Source organism: Homo sapiens, chromosome 10 (genome assembly GCF_000001405.40).
Source record: "Homo sapiens chromosome 10, GRCh38.p14 Primary Assembly".
Classification (NCBI taxonomy): domain Eukaryota; kingdom Metazoa; phylum Chordata; class Mammalia; order Primates; family Hominidae; genus Homo; species Homo sapiens.
Window position 1 is genome coordinate 54,053,988 of NC_000010.11, and position 18,825 is coordinate 54,072,812.

Genomic DNA, 18,825 nt, shown 5'->3' on the forward strand with positions numbered 1-18,825 from the left:
ATGGAGAGTGAGAGAGAAAGAGGAGACTTAGATGGCTCCTTAGCATTTGGCTTGGGGAATAGTTAATTGAGGTACAGAATTCAGAAGGAGCCCTTTCTGGGGAAGACGAAAATAAGACTTCAATCTTAAAAATGTTGAAATTTAGATGCTTTCTGGAAATTCAAGTGGATATTTTACAGATATATGTCTATTTGAGGCTGTAGCTTAAAGGAGTAGAAGGAAAATAAGCATCTCAATGTAAGTAAAGCTGTCGGCTTTAATGTAATTGCAATTGATAAAAAAGGAATACATAGAGTCAAAAGGGCAACTTAGATGATACTTTCAAAATCCAAAGTTTAAGGAGCAAACAGATAAGGGGAAGACAGAATTAGATGTGCTTAAACATGAAAACTAGCAGCAAGCAGGTAGTAGAATCTTAAGAAAAAAGAGAGACAGAGAGAGATCCTATAGCAATAGAGCAGTAAAGTGACTTAGATAAAGATAACATTTAAAAGCACAGTGGTCATTTGTGACCATAAAGTGGACACAGATATCATTCATTGTATAGCTGGGATTTCACAACTATAAATATTTACACATACACACACACACAATAATGTGTATTTTTCTAATAGCTGATATTAAGCCTAAACATTGCTAAAGGGGTAGGCCCTAAATAAATATTGTAAAAATATATTCTTAAAATTTTCTAATCTATTTATGAGCTGCTAATTGAATATCTGAAACATGACCACATTTCAAAAATAGTCACAGACATTAGGTAGATTTCTATTGTAAATATTATTATGTAGCACATTTATATTGACATAACCAATTTTTCAAATTGTGTGGGCTTTTTTCTTTATCAGAATGAGTTACAGGGTTTGCATTATATAGTTTGGCTTAAAAAGAGAACTCATAAAATTCCCCACTTGCAGCCCACTTAAAAAAGAATTATTACAGTTTTAGGCACTGTTGAGTGTCATACTGAGCTACAAAAAATAAGAAATCACCATAATGCTCTCCACCTTCATTTTAGTTTTAGAACCCCACACAGGGAGACAACTATAGTAATCAGAGTTAGGCCACTGAGGTTCAGATTTATTTTGTTTAATATTAAATTGTATAGTTGAAGGAAACATCATTTTTTTAATGACTGTATCACTACCCTTCCAAACACTGTAGTTTACTAATGATTTTAAAACTTCTTTAAGTGCTTAAGACAGAAACATTCCTACAATATCTTAGCTAAGATTTAGCATGCAGGTCTCATACTGGGAATACATTTGTGTTTTAAGTTAAATAAATTCAGCCTCTTATTTAGAACTGGAAGAACATGTTGTAGACTTATGGTTCTATTTTTGTTACCTAGACCTCAAAGAAGTCAGTTCAGTAGAAAAATTTATACAAGGTATTACATGGAAGTTTACTGGGAATCAGCTTACTCTATATTATACAATGCTGAGAACATTGTTTAATCTTTGTTTAAACATTGTTTAACAGGCAGTATAGTTTCCAAGTGTGCCTTCTCTAATGCATTTGTGCAAGCATTTATGCCCAGGGTTGCTATGAAAAACAGAGATAAATAATTTAGTCCTTAAACTTGAGAATTCTGACCTTAGCAGACTCCTCAATGAGATACTCCTACAAAGGCCAGACACCTCTGATATTAGCTGAAAGCCTTCCTACCTCCACTTCCCTCCCCCCTCAACCTCCATCCACCCATGTCTCACATACAGAAATGCACTAAAGCATATAGTGTGATAAGTGTGCTGAAGTAAAAGGCCACCTCTTTTTCTTTTATGCTGAATTATGTTAATAAGTACAAAGAAGTTTTTCTCATGATCATGTATCTTAGACAGAATTTACTGAAATAGATCTTTATCTTCTCACTTTCTAACCCAGACTGATGATTGAATTCACAGAACATTAGTTGAGAAAACAAATGAAAATGACAGAAACCATGTTGAACTATGCATCATGTTCTCCTACTTCTGATGACATCAGGTTTATAATGAGACCAGATTCATCTGTCTGACTGTTACACATTAGCATAAATTATTCCCAGGAAATCCTTCAATTCTCTTTTAGGAATAAATAAGATTCTGAGAGGCACATCCAAGTCCATTGTTGGGATTATGCCATTTTTAATTGATATATAATATATGTACATATTTATGGGGTACATGTGATATTTTGCTGGAATGTGTAAAAATCAAATCAGGGAATTTGGGGTGTCCATCACTTAGAGTATTTACCATTTCTGTGTGTGGACATTCCAAGTTCTCTCTTCAAGCCACTTGAAAATATACAACACATTGCTGCTAACCACAGTTGCTGTATTAGTCTGTCCTAATGTTGCTAAAAAAGGCATACCTGAGACTGGATAATTTATAAAAGAAAGAGGTTTAATTGACTCACAGTTCCACATGGCTGGGGAAGCCTCGCAATCATGGCAGAAGGTGAATGAGGAGCAAAGTCACACCTTACATGATGGCAGGCAGGAGAGAGCTTGTGCAGGGGATCTCCCATTTATAAAACCATCAGATCTTGAGAGACTTATTCACTACCATGAGAACAGTGTGGGGAAAACTGCCCCCATGATTCAATTATCTTCACCTGGCCCCTCCCTTGACACATGGGGATTATAATTCAAGGTGAGATTTTCGATGAGGACACAGCCAAACCATATCATCCCATCCCCAGCCCCTCCCAAATCCCATGTCCTCACATTTCAAAACCAATCATGCCTTCCAAAAGCCACCCAAAATCTTAACTCATTTCAGCATTAACTCAACAGTTGAAGTCCGAAGTCTTATCTCAGACACAGCTAGTTCCTTCCGTCTATGAGCCTGTAAAATCAAAAGTGAGTTAGTTACTTCCTAGATACACTGGGGATACAGGCATTGGGTAAATATACCCATTCCAAATGAGAGAAATTGGCCAAAACAAAAGGGCTACAGGCCCCACGCAAGTCCAAAATCCAATGGGGAAGTCAAATCATGAAGCTCCAAAATGATCTCCTTTGACTCCATGTGTCACATCCAGGTCATGCTGATGCTAAAGATGGGCTTCCACAGCTTTGGGCAGCTCCACCCCTGTGACTTTGAAGGGTAAAGCTCCCACTCCTGGTTGTTTTCATGGGCTCATGGGCTGGTGTTGAGTGTCTGCGACTTGCCAGGCCCAAAGTGCAAGCTGTCAGTGGATTACTATTCTTGGGGCTGGAGGACAGTGACCCTCTTTTCACAGCTCCACTAGGCAGTGTCCCAGTGGGGACTCTGTGTGGGGGCTCCCACCCACATTTCCCTTCTGCACTACCCTGGCAGAGGTTCTCCATGAGGGCTCTGCCCCTGCAGCATAACTCTGCCTGGACATCCAGGCATTTCCATACATCCTCTGAAATCTAGGCAGAGGTTCCCAAACCTTAATTATTGACTTCTGTGCACCTGCACGATCAACACCATGTGGAAGCCGCCAAGACTTGGGGCTTGTAACCTCTGAAGCCCTGGCCTGAGCTATACCTTGGCCCCTTTTAGCCATGGCTAGAGTGGCTGGGATACAGGGCACTAAGTCATGAGGATACACACAGCAGAGGGGTCCTGGACCCAGCCCAGGAAACCATTTTTTCCTCCTAGGCCTCTGGGCCTGTGATTGGAGGGCCTGCCATGAATGTCTCTGAGATACCCTGGAGACATTTCCCCCATTGTCTTGGTGATTAGCATTTGGCTCCTCCTTACTTATGCAAATTTCCACTGCTAGTTTGAATTTCTCCTCAGAAAATGAGGTTTTCTTTACTACTGCCTCATCAGGCTGCAAATTTCTCCAACTTTTATGCTCTGTTTCCTCTTGAGCACTTTGCCACTTAGAAGTTTCTTCTGCTAGATATCCTGAATCATCTCTTTCAAGTTCAAAGTTACACAGATTCCTAGGGCAGGGGCAAAATGCCACCAGTCTCTTGCATAGCAAGAGTGACCTTAACTCCAGTTCCCAACAAGTTTCTCATCTCCATCTAAGATCACCTCAGCCTAGACTTTATTGTCCATATCACTATCAGCATTTTGGTCAAAGTCATTTAATAATTCTCTATGAAGTTCCAAACATTCCCTCATCTTCCTGCCTTTTGAGCCCTCCAAGTCTCTAGGAAGTACCAAACTTTCCCACATTTTCCTATTTTCTTCTGAGCCCTCCAAACTGTTCCAACCCAGGCCTGTTACCCAGTTCCAAAGTTGCTTCCATATTTTTGGGTCTCTTTCCAGCAGCACCACACTCTACTGGTACCCATTCACTGTATTAGACTGTTTTCATGCTGCTAATAAACACATACCTGAGACTGGGTAATTTATCAAGGAAAGAAGTCTAATTGACTCACAGTTTCACATGGCTCAGGAGGCCTGCTTTCATGGCAGAAGGCAAATGAGGAGCAAAGTCCTGGCTTACATGGTGGTAGGAAAGACAGCGTATGCAGGGGAACTCCCATTTATAAAACCATCACATCTTGTGAGACTTACTCACTATCCCAAGAACAGCATGAGAAAGACCTGCCCTGATGATTCAGTCACCTCCCACCTGGTCCTTTCCACGACGTGTGGGAATTATGGGAGCTACAGTTCGAGATTTGGGTGGGGATACAACCAAACCATATCGGTCATATCCCCAAACCATATGGTTGGGGATACAACCAAACCATATCTGCTATCTAACATTAGAACATATTTCTTTCTTTCTTTCTTTCTTTTTTTTTTTTTAGACCAAGTTTTGCTCTTGTTGCCCAGGCTGGAGTGCAGTGGTGCAATCTCAACTCACTGCAACCTCTGCCTCCTGGGTTCAAGCTATTCTCCTGCCTCAGCCTTCCTGGGTAGCTGGGATTACAGAGATGTGCCACCATGCCCAGCTAATTTTATATTTTCAGTAGAGACAGGATTTCTCCATGTTGGTCAGGCTAGTCTCAAACTCCCGACCTCAGATGATCCACCCGCCTCGGCCTCCCAAAATGCTGGGATTACAGGCATGAGCCACCACACCTGGCCAGAACTTATTTCTTCTAACAGTATGTTTGTAACAACTTTCTTCATCAGCCCCATCCTCCACCACCACCACTCTTCTCAGCCTCTGGTATCTATCAGTCTACTCTCTATTTCCATGAGAACAACTTTTTCAGCTCCAGCCTATGAGTGAGGACATGTGATATTTGTCTTTCTATTCTTGATTTATTTTACTTAACATAATAACCTCCATTTCCATTCATATTGCTACAAATGAAAATGATTTTCATTATGCCACTTTTAAACATGAACATTTGACAAGAAATTGACTTATTTATTATTGTTATGTAAAGTAACTAGTTTAGGCTAAATTGGGTCTACTGTTGGGAGTATGCACAATAACAGTAATACAATAATAATTATGCATAACCCCAACAACAGACCCAGCTTTACCCTATTTATCTTATATAACAATAAGTAAATACATAATACATAAAAGAATTTTATATTTTTCCTCTAACACATAATATTTCTTTATCTCCCTTTTCCTTTTTCTCTCTTTCTTACATATACACATGCGCTTGTGCATGGCACAGGTTAGTATAAACCAGAATCAATGGCAGAGCTCACTAAAACACAGATTTCTGGCCCCAACACTAGGGTTTCTGATTCAATCTCTGTGGTATAGAGTATAGCAGTCTGCATTTCTAAGGTGTTTCTATTGGTGCTGATGCTGATGCTGATGCTGCTTTTCCAGGAACAACACTTTGATAGCCACCTAACGCATGTTTGTATTTTTTCAGTTCAGATACGCATGAGCAAGTCACAGGAAGCATGGTCATTGGAGAATCCTGTATAGTAGAGTGGTTAAGACCAAACATTTGAAAGTAATTCAAATATGTACAATGGAAAGCATTTAGAATAGTTCGTGGCACATTGTAAGAATTCAAAAATTGATAGTCATTATTACTGATTTTTTACTAGAGCTGTCAGTCTATCCAATATGCTTCTTTCAATGCAAGCTCCACATATCCCACTAGCTGGACTTATTTTAAGATGAATAAACAAAAATACAAAAATCAGGATCGCAACCATGAGCTCTATTTTGATAATAACAAATATCTTTCATTTCCTTTAAATTTCTAAAATATCCTACAAATGTGACTATATGCATATATATGTTCATGTACTAAATGTTGATTTGTACATTTGTTATTATCAAAGACCAAGCTTTGGCTAACACACTTAAAAAGGATAAACGCTGTTTATAATCTGACTGACTATGATTGTTTGTAGTGATGCAGTAGAAGAAAATCATTTATCAACTTAAGATTTTATAGTTTCTTAAGAACAGTACTTCCATTAAAATGTTCTCTAAATATGGTAATATTAGGCAAATGCAAGAGTGCAACTACCGTATTTCGAAAAATCATAAACAATTGTTTGCATTTAGTTCATAGTGTTGTAAAAAATATTACTTTCTATAATATACGTAGCCATACTTTATAAATTATTTAGTATTTAACATAATTATAATAAAAATTAAGTGCATATTAGCTTCATTCCTTATTTTAAACCTGTACATATATTATGTGTATGTATTAATCCTTCAAATCACTACTTGAGATGAATTCTATTATTATCTCCATTTTGCGATAGCGAAATCCAGTCCCAGAGAAGCTAAATTAGTTATCCAAGATTGCATTAGTTATTTTGGCAAGTCAAATTTGAACTCAGGTAGTTTTATTCCATGGCCCATATTTTAAGCTGTTCATTAAGTTCTCCATCTTGTTGGGATGCTGGGTCTGGATTCATGGAGTCACGTGATCTAGTGACAGGATGAACCAAGTGACCAGGGAGTGGTCGTCTCATTAAAGTATGTAAGGAGCATAAGAGGTGAGGGTTGTTAGGTAAGATGAGAAGTCCGGGATCCCTGTGTGGTGAGTCTAGAAGTCACAGTCCAGTATAAAACAGGCTTTTAAAGGTAAGTGGCTGGAAAGCTGGACACTGATTTAGTAGACTGGCTTAGAGTCAGTCTATCTAAAGGCTGAATGGACCTTCACAGAAGTTATATCATGCTCTGCTGTTGTATATTCCCAAATGCCTATTCCTTTGAGACTTGAGGGGTCCAGGACCAGGCCTGCAGATTTGATCAGAATATGACTGCATTTGGGGGCTTCTACTGGCATCTGCTCCCCCAAAGACTTGGGATCATCTGAGAGTTCTGCAGTTGAGTATGAGGCCTCTAGTAAGAGGCCTCTCATATCTGAGACCCATTCTAAAGATCAATTATTTGCATGCTTGTGGTCCACAGTCAAGATATGCATACAAATCCTCTAGATTCTATCTCCTGTGAAATACTCTCAAGGATACTAGGCAAAATATTACACTAAGTCTTCATATCATTCACTATTTCATTAGGCCCCATCTGAACTCAATGTATTTTTAATCATTTTTCCAGAACTCCTTTAAACAGCTCTTCCATTATTGTCAGAATACTGACTTAGAGTCCTCAAATTGCTTCTTCAGCTGGATTATATTTCATATTACATTTTTTTGGCTGGTATTTTTATTTCCTTTTTTTTTTAAATTTCCAACAAAGATTTCACTAATACATTGAAAAGAACCAAGAATAATCTGCTTTTCTCATGAACCCTAACCTGGCCACCTCAGTCTATTATAATGTCTCTTTTTCCTTGCAGTAAAGAATTTATAGCACCCATTTGACACTTGACACAGAGTATATACTTACTGTATTTACTAGGTTTTGAGTATATCTTTTCATACATATTGTTACAGTTTTCAATTCTAAATGCACAAGGTATAATATGATACCTTGTGAATAAAAAGATAAACATTAAAAATTGTTGATTGGTAGGTTATTTTTTAATATGCTGGATAAAACTTTTTGCTATGTATAATCCATAAATTTGCTTCAAAAGTATTCCTTAGTTATTATTTGTTACTACAACACTACCTTTAAAAACTAAATGAGGCCGGGTGTGGTGGCTCAGGCCTGTAATCCCAGCACTTTGGGAGGCCAAGGCGGGCAGATCACCTGAGGTCAGAAGTTCAAGATCAGCCTGGCCAACATGGCACAAACCTGTCTCTACTAAAAGTACAAAAATTTGCTGGGCATGGTGGAGGTTGCCTGTAATCCCAGCGACTCAGGAGGCTGAAGCAGGTGAAGTTTGAACCTGGGCGGCAGAGGTTGCAGTGAGCCGAGGTCACTCCATTGCACTCCATCCAGCCTGGGTGACAAGAGTGAGATTCTGTCTCAAAAAAAAAAAAAAAAAAAAAAAAACAAAAAACAACTAAATGAAAACTCCCTTCAGCATTTTAATTCAAATATTGGATTATTCATATTAAAATATCAATAGAATATAAACACAAAGTTGATAACTCAAATTCAGTATAGTAATTAACAATATGTATCTTGGTTTTAAGTCTTAATAGTTTTTGATGACAATTAAAATTAAATTTTACAAGCAGAGCATGAGTAATTTAGTGAAATTAATATATGATATAATTATCATTAGGTAGCAACCATTATGAGCATCAAAATTCCATCCTATAAACATTACACTGTGCAGAATCAGTTAGATGCAGCCTGCCTTGGATGTCTTCCTCTTCCTTTTTGCTTTCAACATCGTTTTAGTTTTTATGAAAACAAGTTATTGCCTAAAGACCAGGCTAAGGTCCATATTTCAATTTTAAAAACTGAAATAAATTATAGAGGCCATTTCTTATCAAATTTAAGAACCAGGAGACAACAACAAGGTTAACACAATAATTCAAGAACAAAGAATCACTAGGAAAAGCGGGAAAAAAAAAATAAGAAAAAAAGGAAAAGAAATTTAACTAAAAACTAATCATCATGTTGATGTCTACTTGTGTGTTTTTAGTTATATATTCCATCTGGGCTTTATCTCTCCAAGCTAAATAAATTAAGAAAATGGGAAAGATCATTTTTGTAAATAATTTCAATGCTTGTTTGTTTTTAACTGAATAGTTAATATATATATGGCTAAGTGAAGTTTTTCAGTTTTCAGCAATGTGGCATTTTAAACTGACAACTGTAATATAACTTAATTATCATTAATAAAGACGATTACATTAGTTCAAGCCTCATATGCCTGGTTTATTACAATTGCCTCCTACTTCTGCCTTCTGGATTTAGAATCTCCCATTTCAATATATCAGGAGTAATTTTTATAAAATACAAATCAGATGTTGCCATACCTCAGACCCTTTAGTGGCTCCCCCGTCACCTTCTACAACATGGTATAGAAAAGTGTTTATGACATGGTACGTCTTATTCATTGTAACTATGCTATGTCACACTCTGATTTCTCTGTGCCTTTACTTATACAACTAACTTTCCCTAACAGATTCCAACTTCTCTCAACTTCTCTCTTACCTGTGTTCTTCCTTCTTGAGTCAACTTCAGCATTTCTCCTTTGATGATAATTTTTGCACATGCCCCTGTTATAGACTTTATTACCTTGTTTTCTTGGTGTAGCCAAACTTGTCAGTGTCCTATGCATGTCCCTCAGAGCATTTGGTATGCTTTGGCCAACTTCCACCTCCTGGTATTGTCACTGGATCCTAAGGGTGTTGCTTTTCCAGCCAGAAACCTCTGCGGGTGGTGGCGCCTTTGCCCAAGTTTTGCTCGGACTAGCTGTGTTTGTATCACCCACTCCACCTGGCAGGCTGTGCTTGGCTCATGCTACTGGGCTAAATCCGACACTTTGCCAGGGCAAGCCAGGTTCAGAGCAGCGATGGGTGCATGAGCGAGCAAGTGCAGGGTCTTGTCACTGTGCATAGCCACGCACGCTAGCTGCTTTGGCGGGACGGGTAGCTCCAGCCGCCCTCTCCCAGCAAACCTTAGATTGAATCAGATACAGGGCAAGAGCCTTCTGCTGTGAGCACCCGCGTCTGGATGAGGGGCTCCCTGAAGAGCCGCAACTCTTCTCTCCTTTTTGTTGCTCGCCACATGGTGAGGGGGGTGGCAGCTAAACAAGGTTTTAGCCCTGTTTGTGTTACCGCTCTTTCATTCCTGCCATTTGGTGGGTCCCGAGTTTTTGGCCCACATCCAGGAAGAATGAGGTACGCGCACAGCTGGAGAGTTAAGGTGGAGAGGAACTTTACAAAGCTACAGAACAGCTCTCAAGAGACCGAAGTGTGTAGCTCCTATCCATAGGCAGGTTATCCCCATAAGTGTCCAGCTCTCAGCAGAGAGAAGACCCGGAATAGGTAGTTCCTTTCTGCAGAAGGTGGTCCCAGGAGACACGAAGAGGAAATCTCCTCCCTGCAGCTGGTATTCTTGATGTCTGTGTGAGGCTGGCTGGCTCCAGGGTTTTTTTGGGCTCAGAAAGGAGGAAGTACATGTTGATTGGTCCACGGGTGGCCATGGGCAGGCCCGGTAAAAGCACCGTAAGTTTTCACTCTGGGCCACGGACTCCACTGGAACTGATGGGCTGGTCCCCAGGCTTCAGGCCATCCCTGGCTTGAAGGTGGGGCTTCACCAGGGACACCCCACTTTCCACCCAGGAGCCTGTCTTCTGCTGCCATCAATCATGTTGTTCATGGTGCCCAGGCTGTTTATGAGGAGAAGTGCCTGCAGGCCCACAGTGAGCAGCCCTCTGTCCCCTCTTGGCCTCCCTCCTATGTTCATTGGCGCCCAAAGTTCACAGGAGGCTGAGGTGGCAGGGGGCTGGCATGTCAGCACCAACCCAAGCACGCACACACCCAGCCTGGTTGTGACAGCACCTGGGCTCGGCCTGAACTTTGCTTCAAAATTGGAAGGGGTGCCAGGAGCTGGAAGAGGTCAGGCAGGGGGAACAGGCACTTCCGACTCTGTGGGGGCAGGGGAGCTTCCTGGATCCCTGAGAGCACAGAGATGCCTAGGTCTGCAGCCACAGCTGGGCAGCTGGAGCTACACCCAGGATGGCAGGGCTCCCACCCTGCCAACTTGGAAGGGGGTTAGGTTCCTGCCTGCTCCTTGCTCCCACCGGCTCCCTGGAGCATTTAGCCCAGGTCATACCTCCTCTGCTGTAGCTGGTGTCTTTGCAGTGGCTGCTCCAGATGGGCCACTGCTGCCATCAGTATCTACAGCCTGACTCAGTGCCCTTCTATCAGATTATGCTGAGGGAATTTGACTACTTGCTTCTACTGGAGGCAAGAAAATCCAAAAACTTGGCAGCCCATTGGCCAACATTGCAGCTAATTACTCTCAGGATTTAGTGTATATGTTTTCCAGTTCCATAACCTCTCAGGAACTGGACAATTAAAACTATCAGGACAGATAACTCTGATGCATGAGTTTGCATCTTTTTCTAGAGTTTGCCCTTGGAGTGAAGTTTCAGTTCTCCTTATGATTGCTGGTTTAATAGCAATCTTGTTACTGGCTACCTTCTCTTCTTTGCCTCACTTTCTCACTTCCTTATCACTGTTATCTACACTTCTCAAAAAATATTTATACATGAATATTTTGTGTCCAGATTTTCTGTTGGAGAATCCACAGTAAGCCATTGGACACCAGAGGTACTACAGTGTGGGGAGCAGAGCCTTCAGATGGGATGCTGGAGTTGAATCGCTTGTTGGCCAGTTGGTATCAAGACCAGTTGGCATTTTATAACATCACAATGACCAAGATTATCCCCTATGTGAATTGGGATGGCATAAACATATAAGGTTATGTATGCCTTATGCAGTATTTCCAGAATTTGAGATAGTGACAATGATAATGATAATGACTGTGGAGTTGGTAGTTGCAAGTATTGTCAGTGATCTAAAGGAAAAAATGACTTTTAAAAAAGCTTCAACTGGTCAATCAAAATCTCAGGACATGGTGTGAACATCACAAGATCTCTATAACACCATTTAAAGCAACCCTCTCCTTTTGCAGTTTAAAGGAGATTGAGCTAAAAATCAGATCTTGTGCCTGGTTATAAGAATAGCAGAACAGTAGAGAAGCCTCACTTGAAAGCACCAGCACGCCTTCTGTGGAAAAGTCAGAACCTTCACAGGGAAGGAGTAGGACCCTGAACTCTGGGTTTGGAACATCTGGGTGGCTCACACCTCACTAAACCAAGATTCTTTCCTCCCCTGAAGACCACATAAACACCTCATCTGAGGTTGATACTTCAAATTGTGCACATCTTCCTCCAATTTTTTTCTTCTTTGTGACTTCTAGACCAATTATTATGTTCAAGACCAAGAATGGCCCAAATGAGGAAGTACTGTCTCTGTTTTAACAATAAAGGAATTATTCATCAAATGAACCACAGACACCGGCTAATATGTCCAGGTAGATCCAGAAGCACTTAGAAGAACACTAAGAGTAAGTTTACTACGAGTAAATCTTCTGAGTGCTGGAAAAGGTGTGTGTGCAAAATATTAGAAACACACGGTAGACTCTAAAGATAGTATTTACCTAATGTAATGAATTCAAATCTAAATATATATATTTTGAGGTCTAAATGTCCACATCCATACCTAGTAGTATACCTAATTACATGTTTCTGTAAAATGTTTTAATTTCAGAAACTAAAAATATATATTAAATTAGCATACTATCACATTAATCAATGTTTAAATTATACAATAATTATAAAATGTAAATCTGTATCCTTGAAAGTTAATTAAAATATATAGGATATGATTCATTTTTTAAAGTCTTGAAGAATATCCAGCACAGTCATTTAACAGATTACATTAGCTGAGTTTCTTTTGAGAATTAAAATGTAATAAACTTACACTCTTTGAAAAACTACATATAAGATCTATATAAATATTCCACTTACTTTTACTTGACCCACAAAGGCATTGGCTTCTTCTTCCACCACAGATAAATTTCTTGGCAGATAAGGATCAAACACTGGAGCATTGTCATTGACATCTGTCACCACTATGTTTACTGTGGCAGTTGAGGTCTTAAAGAAAAACACAAGCATTAAATGTGAGAGGAGCTATTTTTACTTAGAATTCATTTAAGTAGTCATTCTGGCATTTGTCTATCTGAAAAGCATCTCATTTTTCTTTCTAATCCTTAGCTTTCCAAAAAATAAAAATAAAAAAATAAAAAAATTAAAAAAAAGAAGCTTGCAAAGAAGCTTCCCACCTCAAAAAACAGATGGGAAAAGCAAATGATGATATTAAAGGGCAAACATCTTTTTGGAAATGTCAAGTATTTCCTGGAGGAAAACGGTTTTACCTTTATCTTGTTCACATTTTATGGGTGGCAAGCTTTTGTTTATACACACGTACACTGCTTTATCTCTGAAATGTGCCATTTCTGTAGTTTTTGCTGCTTGTATGTTTGACTGTTTAAAAATAAAACCAGTACATTATAAAATAGCATGGTACATCAAATGAGCATTTTCTGGAAAGCTCATGCTATCGAAAAATGCTACCTTAATAATTTTCTAGGTGTACATTTAAACCAAGAGTTTGAGTACCATATACTAGGCATGAAATGATTATCTTATAAGCATACAGCTTACGGAAATGGTATGCAGGTAAACCTACCAGTAGTGTGTGCTACCTAGTTAAAAGTTAAATCCCTGGCCTGCTGCAGTCAATATTATGTAGGTCAATGACTTCTGCACAATCAATGACTATCTTCATAAGTGATTCAAGCTGGAAACTGCTCTCTCTAATCAAAGCCTGAGTACAGCACAGAACCTCTACCTAGCTCTGTCACAGTGTGGGGCTGATCACAAAAGGCTGAGAGCAAAGGTACAGAGAGAAAGAATATTAACCTGGAAAGTAAGAAACCTGGTATGCTATGGTATTAAATATTTAGTAACTATAAATAAAAAGGAGGAGGAAAAAGCAAGGTGATACTGTCATGAGAGAATTATCCACCTTTTGTTTAAAAAAATGCAAGTTCCATTAATTAGTAAGTGATTTGTAGTGAGAGGCTAAAATCCTGAGCACTAAGAAGTGACTTGAGTGAAGCTGAAAAGGTTTTGCAGCAGTCATGGGGCTAAGGAGTCAAGTGATTTTTTTTATTTTTTATTTTTTTTTATTTTTTTAGCTATTAAAGAGGACAGATCTTGGTAAATACCCAATGCTTTCTGTTGGGGTCACAGAAGTTCTATACCATGCAAGTCATGGTGCTTGGGAAAAAGACCAAACCTCCCTCAAATGTAAACCCAGTATTGAAACTCTGATTGGATTTAGGTGATCTGCCCTTATTTTAACAGAAGCAAAAGCAAATACTTTTTTTAGTAATGTAACTTTATCCCAAGCCTCTATAAATTTTTTCATGCACAGTGTTCAGTAGTCACTTAATAATTACCATGCATAGCAGGGAATTCCTGGGTATTAGTGATGGCTTATTTCTTTATTTGTATGTTGGCTTACCCTTTGAAAATTTATGTTGCTATTCATATGTGATTTGCACACATTTTTGTATTTAAAGTTAAATAAAATTTTTATTTAAAGACACGTACAAAGATGGTCAGAACATCATTATATAGTCAAAATCTGGAAACAACCCAAATGTCCATCGATAGTAGATGGTTATACAGGATTGTGTTTTATATATGCAATGGAATCATATGAAGTACTGAGAATGTACGAACTACTGCTATAAGTAATAACATGGATTAATTTCATGAACCTAAGTTTCTAGAACATAAATAACACATACTATATGATTCCATTTATATAAACTTCAAAAACAGGCATAATCCCTACATGGTGATAAAAATTAGAATACGGGTCACTTTGAAGAAGAAGATCGAATAGCGACAGAAATGATCACAAAGCTGAGCTTCTGGAGTGCTGATTAATTTCTGTTTTTTGTTATGAGTAGTGGTTACATAGGTGTGTTCTCTATGTAAAAATTCATTAAGCTGTAGAATTATTGTTTGTGCATTAGTCTGTGTGTTATATTTTCTTAAGATTATTTACTTTAAAAGATGCACACACACAAACATACACATGTGTGTCGATATATGTAAGTATGTTTAAAGAAATTCAAGTGCTACTTGACTAGATGGAATCCAGATCATTTCATTTTCCTCGTTACTTTTATATATTTTCTAAATGTTCTCCCAAAAGGCTACCATGCTTTCATGACAAAAAGTATTTTAACAAATATTATTTCTTTAAAATTTGCCTTAGAATTGAAAGCAGTAAAGAAGATGTGTTTTTTACAGTTGCGGTAGTTCCCAATTTGCCTGAGGGTTAACAAGACATTGAAATTTACAGCCTGGATCCAAAATCTAAGAATGGTGACCCTGGAGTTTGCTGGCTTTTCTTCAAATTGCCTGACCCCCTTTACACCAGCCTGTCTTTACCTGTCAATCCACTGTTTTTCTCATCCTATTCTTTAAAATTTATATTCATGTTTTCAGAGTATTCTGTATCCTCAGTTTAAGACTGTAACTCTTAAGTGGATAATGAAGAATACAACCAGATCACTAAGTAAACTAAGAAGTCAAATAACAATTCCATAATTTTGTGCTAATAGGGGATGATATTTATGGGACATGCAGGCATTTTCTTCATTTCTTACTGAATTTTATATGACATGAAAAAAATCCATGTCTTACAGAAATGTACAGTCACATCTATACATAGAATAATTTCCAGTTTATATATTTCTTGAAGTTTTTTAATACCACTTGCTTCAGAAATACTTATGTAAAAATGAGGATTTCAGGGCTATCCATTAGGTCTATTGACTATTGTTCTGAACCTATGGAAATATTTATAAATTAGTTAGGTGTAAATCATATTTATTTAATTTTTCTTGATTGGTTCAGAAGGATGGCAACAATATGCTTCAATGTGGATCTGTGCCATAGAGAATGTTTATGTCTTATTAAGGAAAGACTTCTTTTCATTGTTCAAGCTTAAAAATTAGCAAATGAAAACAGATCACTTTAATTAATTGTTAGGACCATATGTCATTAACACATGTTCACAATTAATTTTAAATATGAATATATATATAATGCCAGTTAAATTAAAAAGATCTCAAACTAATAAACCTAATAAATAAAAAGTTACGTATTTTCCATCAACGGAGTTTGCTCACTGATTATTTCCTCAAAAGTTGTATTAACTTATAATTCCACTAGCTGGAAATACTTGCATGTTAGTACTAAATACTGTAATTGAACACTTTCATGTTCATTATTTAATTTAAATGTGTCTTAGAATTTCCTTTTGTAATATCATAGAAGAATTTTCAAAATATATGTCTCATTCTCAACAATGCAAGATATTTCTGTTTTTGTTTGTTTGTTTGTTTTGAGACAAGGTATCACTCTGTCATTCAGGCTGGAGTGCAGTGGCATGATCTCTGCTCACTGCAACCTCCGCCTCCCAGGTTTAAACAATTCTCCTGCCTCAGCCTCCTGAGTAGCTGGGATTACAGACATGTGCCACCATGCCTGGCTAATTTTTGTATTTTTAGTACAGATGGGGTTTCACTATGATGGCCAGGCTGATCTTGAACTCCTGACCTCAAACAATCTGTCCGCCTTGGCCTATCAAAGTGCTGGGATTACAGGCGTGAGCCATCGCACCCAGCTTACTGTTGTAATTTGAATACACATTTATTTTTATAAACTAGTATGGCTCTGAAAGAAGGATATTAATATAGCATCTTTTTTTATTTTCATTGTTGTTGTTTTTTTTGAGACATGTCTCATTCTGTTGCCCAGGCTGGAGTGCAGTATGTGATCATAGCTCACAGCAGCTTTGAACTCCTAGGCTCAAGTGATTCTCTCACCTCAGTCTCCTAAGTAGGTGGGACTACAGGTGCACGCCACTATGCCCAGCTAATTTTTATTTCTTTATTTTATTTTTGTAGAGACAGAGTCTCAGTATGTTGCCTAGGTGGTCTCAAACTTCTCATCTCAATCCCACCTTGGCCTCTCAAAGTGCTGGGGTTATAGGTCTGAGCCGCGATATCCAGCTCATCTTTTGTTTTTTGTTGTTGTTGTTGTTTTTTAATAGTATAAAAAAAGTGAGTTATAAAGCCATAGTCAAAGAAAGTAGTGTAAATTCATCTATCAATACACAATGCATTATTTGAAATTCGTGAGAACATACATTAAGAGTATCTTATTTATTCTCTTCTAGTATTTCCTATCTCAGGAAATGACATGGCAAAATAATTAACTAATTTTCTAAGTCACTTTATCTCATACATGCAATTTATTAGTCACCAAGTCCTGTTAATTTGACCTTGTAAATGCGCCTTGTATTATACAGTTTTGAGCAATGGATAAATAATACAATTTTCATTTCCTGAGTAAATAGCTGGAAGTCAGATAACTGGGTTTTCTGATTAGCATATGTTTAGCTATGTAAGAAAACCAGAAATGTGTTTTGCTCAATAATTTAATGAATAATTTTTAATACATTTTCTTGTTAATCAACTTAATGAACACTTTTAAGGGCAGTGTGTAATACTACGAATTTAATAAGCAATTTTGGCTTTAATCCTAGAGAGGATAAGAGAAGGGATGTTTGTTTTTTATTTAATCACAAAAAAATGCATTTTTTTATCATTTAATTTTTACATCTTTTGACACAAAATTTGTTAAACATTTCATGGCTAGAAAACTATTTCTTTATATTTTGTGTGCATCTCATAGCACAGCCATTTGTTTTGTGCTATTACATTTATATTAGATGATTGAAATTCAATGACATTCAATACATGGTTTAAGAAACATGTATGCTTAGAATTTATCTGAGCAGAGACTCATGGTATGTATAGGAATCAGTCAGGAATATTTCAATTTGTTCATTAAGAAAGCAGAAAACATTATCAGAGGTAAGGTAACACTATAATTATGGAGCACTTATCATTTATCTATTTCTTAAATAAAAACATGAGTGTTTAATTTCAAAGGTGCAATTTCTTTTCTATAGTCAACAAGATTCACTATATATTCTCAGAAATAATAAAGACATTATTTTATTAAGAAATGTGTCTAACGTGTTTACTAATAGAACACACAATGTCAGCTCAATGAATATTTTTAGATACTTTAAATATCTATTTTTATTATAATTTGTACTACATGCTGAAATAAATTACCTTATAACTTATTTTATTTAAATGTCTGAAAAAAGAAGAGCTAGAAAGAATATTGAAAATTTCCATCTGTGAGAAAACACAAGAAATGTTATTTATAGAACACAAAGTTTTCCTATCTGAATAAAAATCTTCACTACTATATCTAAAATTCTTTTCAATAACAATGGGACAATGAGGATTTATAGTTTAGAATTCAATCATTTTTTGTTTAGGCCAATAAAACAAGAAAAATACATATTCAATAATAAGTATAGTATTTAGAGAATATTAATTTAAAACATTTTCATCCTTAAGCGCAAGTCATCTTGTTGCTACACAGTTCAGAGCCAAGCCAACTTCATTCAGATTGTAGAGTTTCATTCATGATGTAGAGTGGAGGTCCTTCCTACCATTAAAGATTAGCCAGGAGGCTTTCTTTCCTTCTGAAGGAAAAAAATATACATAAAATCTAGAATTTCTTTGAGAAAGAGAAAAGGGAAGTTCCTTCTATTATGAATTACGGGAAGGAGAAAGGGAGACACAGAAGAGACATGAAGGCAGGAGGCAGAGGTCCTCCTCCTCATCCCCTACTGCCACTTTGGACCCCTCCTTAAGTGAAGAGGCACTGGAGAAACATTTTGGAAGAAGGGGGAAATGATGACTGGGAAACTAAGAGAAATTTGGGTGAAATAATCACAGTAGTTTTCAGGAGTATGTAAGCCTCCAGAAAATTTCCACAGGTTCCATGGGAGGTCCCATCTAATAGGTTATGGCACTGAATATACAGCAATGGCAGAGAGAGGTGTCAAG

The 18,825-nt window shown here is 37.5% G+C and overlaps 1 protein-coding gene across 20 annotated transcripts in view; it reads right to left on the reverse strand.

The window, feature by feature from the left end:
• Window positions 1-18,825, reverse strand: part of PCDH15 (protocadherin related 15) — a 1,825,172-nt gene that overhangs the window by 251,217 nt on the left and 1,555,130 nt on the right. For all 20 annotated transcript variants that reach the window (XM_047425663.1, NM_001354420.2, NM_001354429.2 and 17 more), the window contains one exon: window positions 12,770-12,898. In XM_047425663.1, the coding sequence (XP_047281619.1) occupies window positions 12,770-12,898 (129 nt within the window). The remainder of the gene's footprint in view (window positions 1-12,769; window positions 12,899-18,825) is intronic.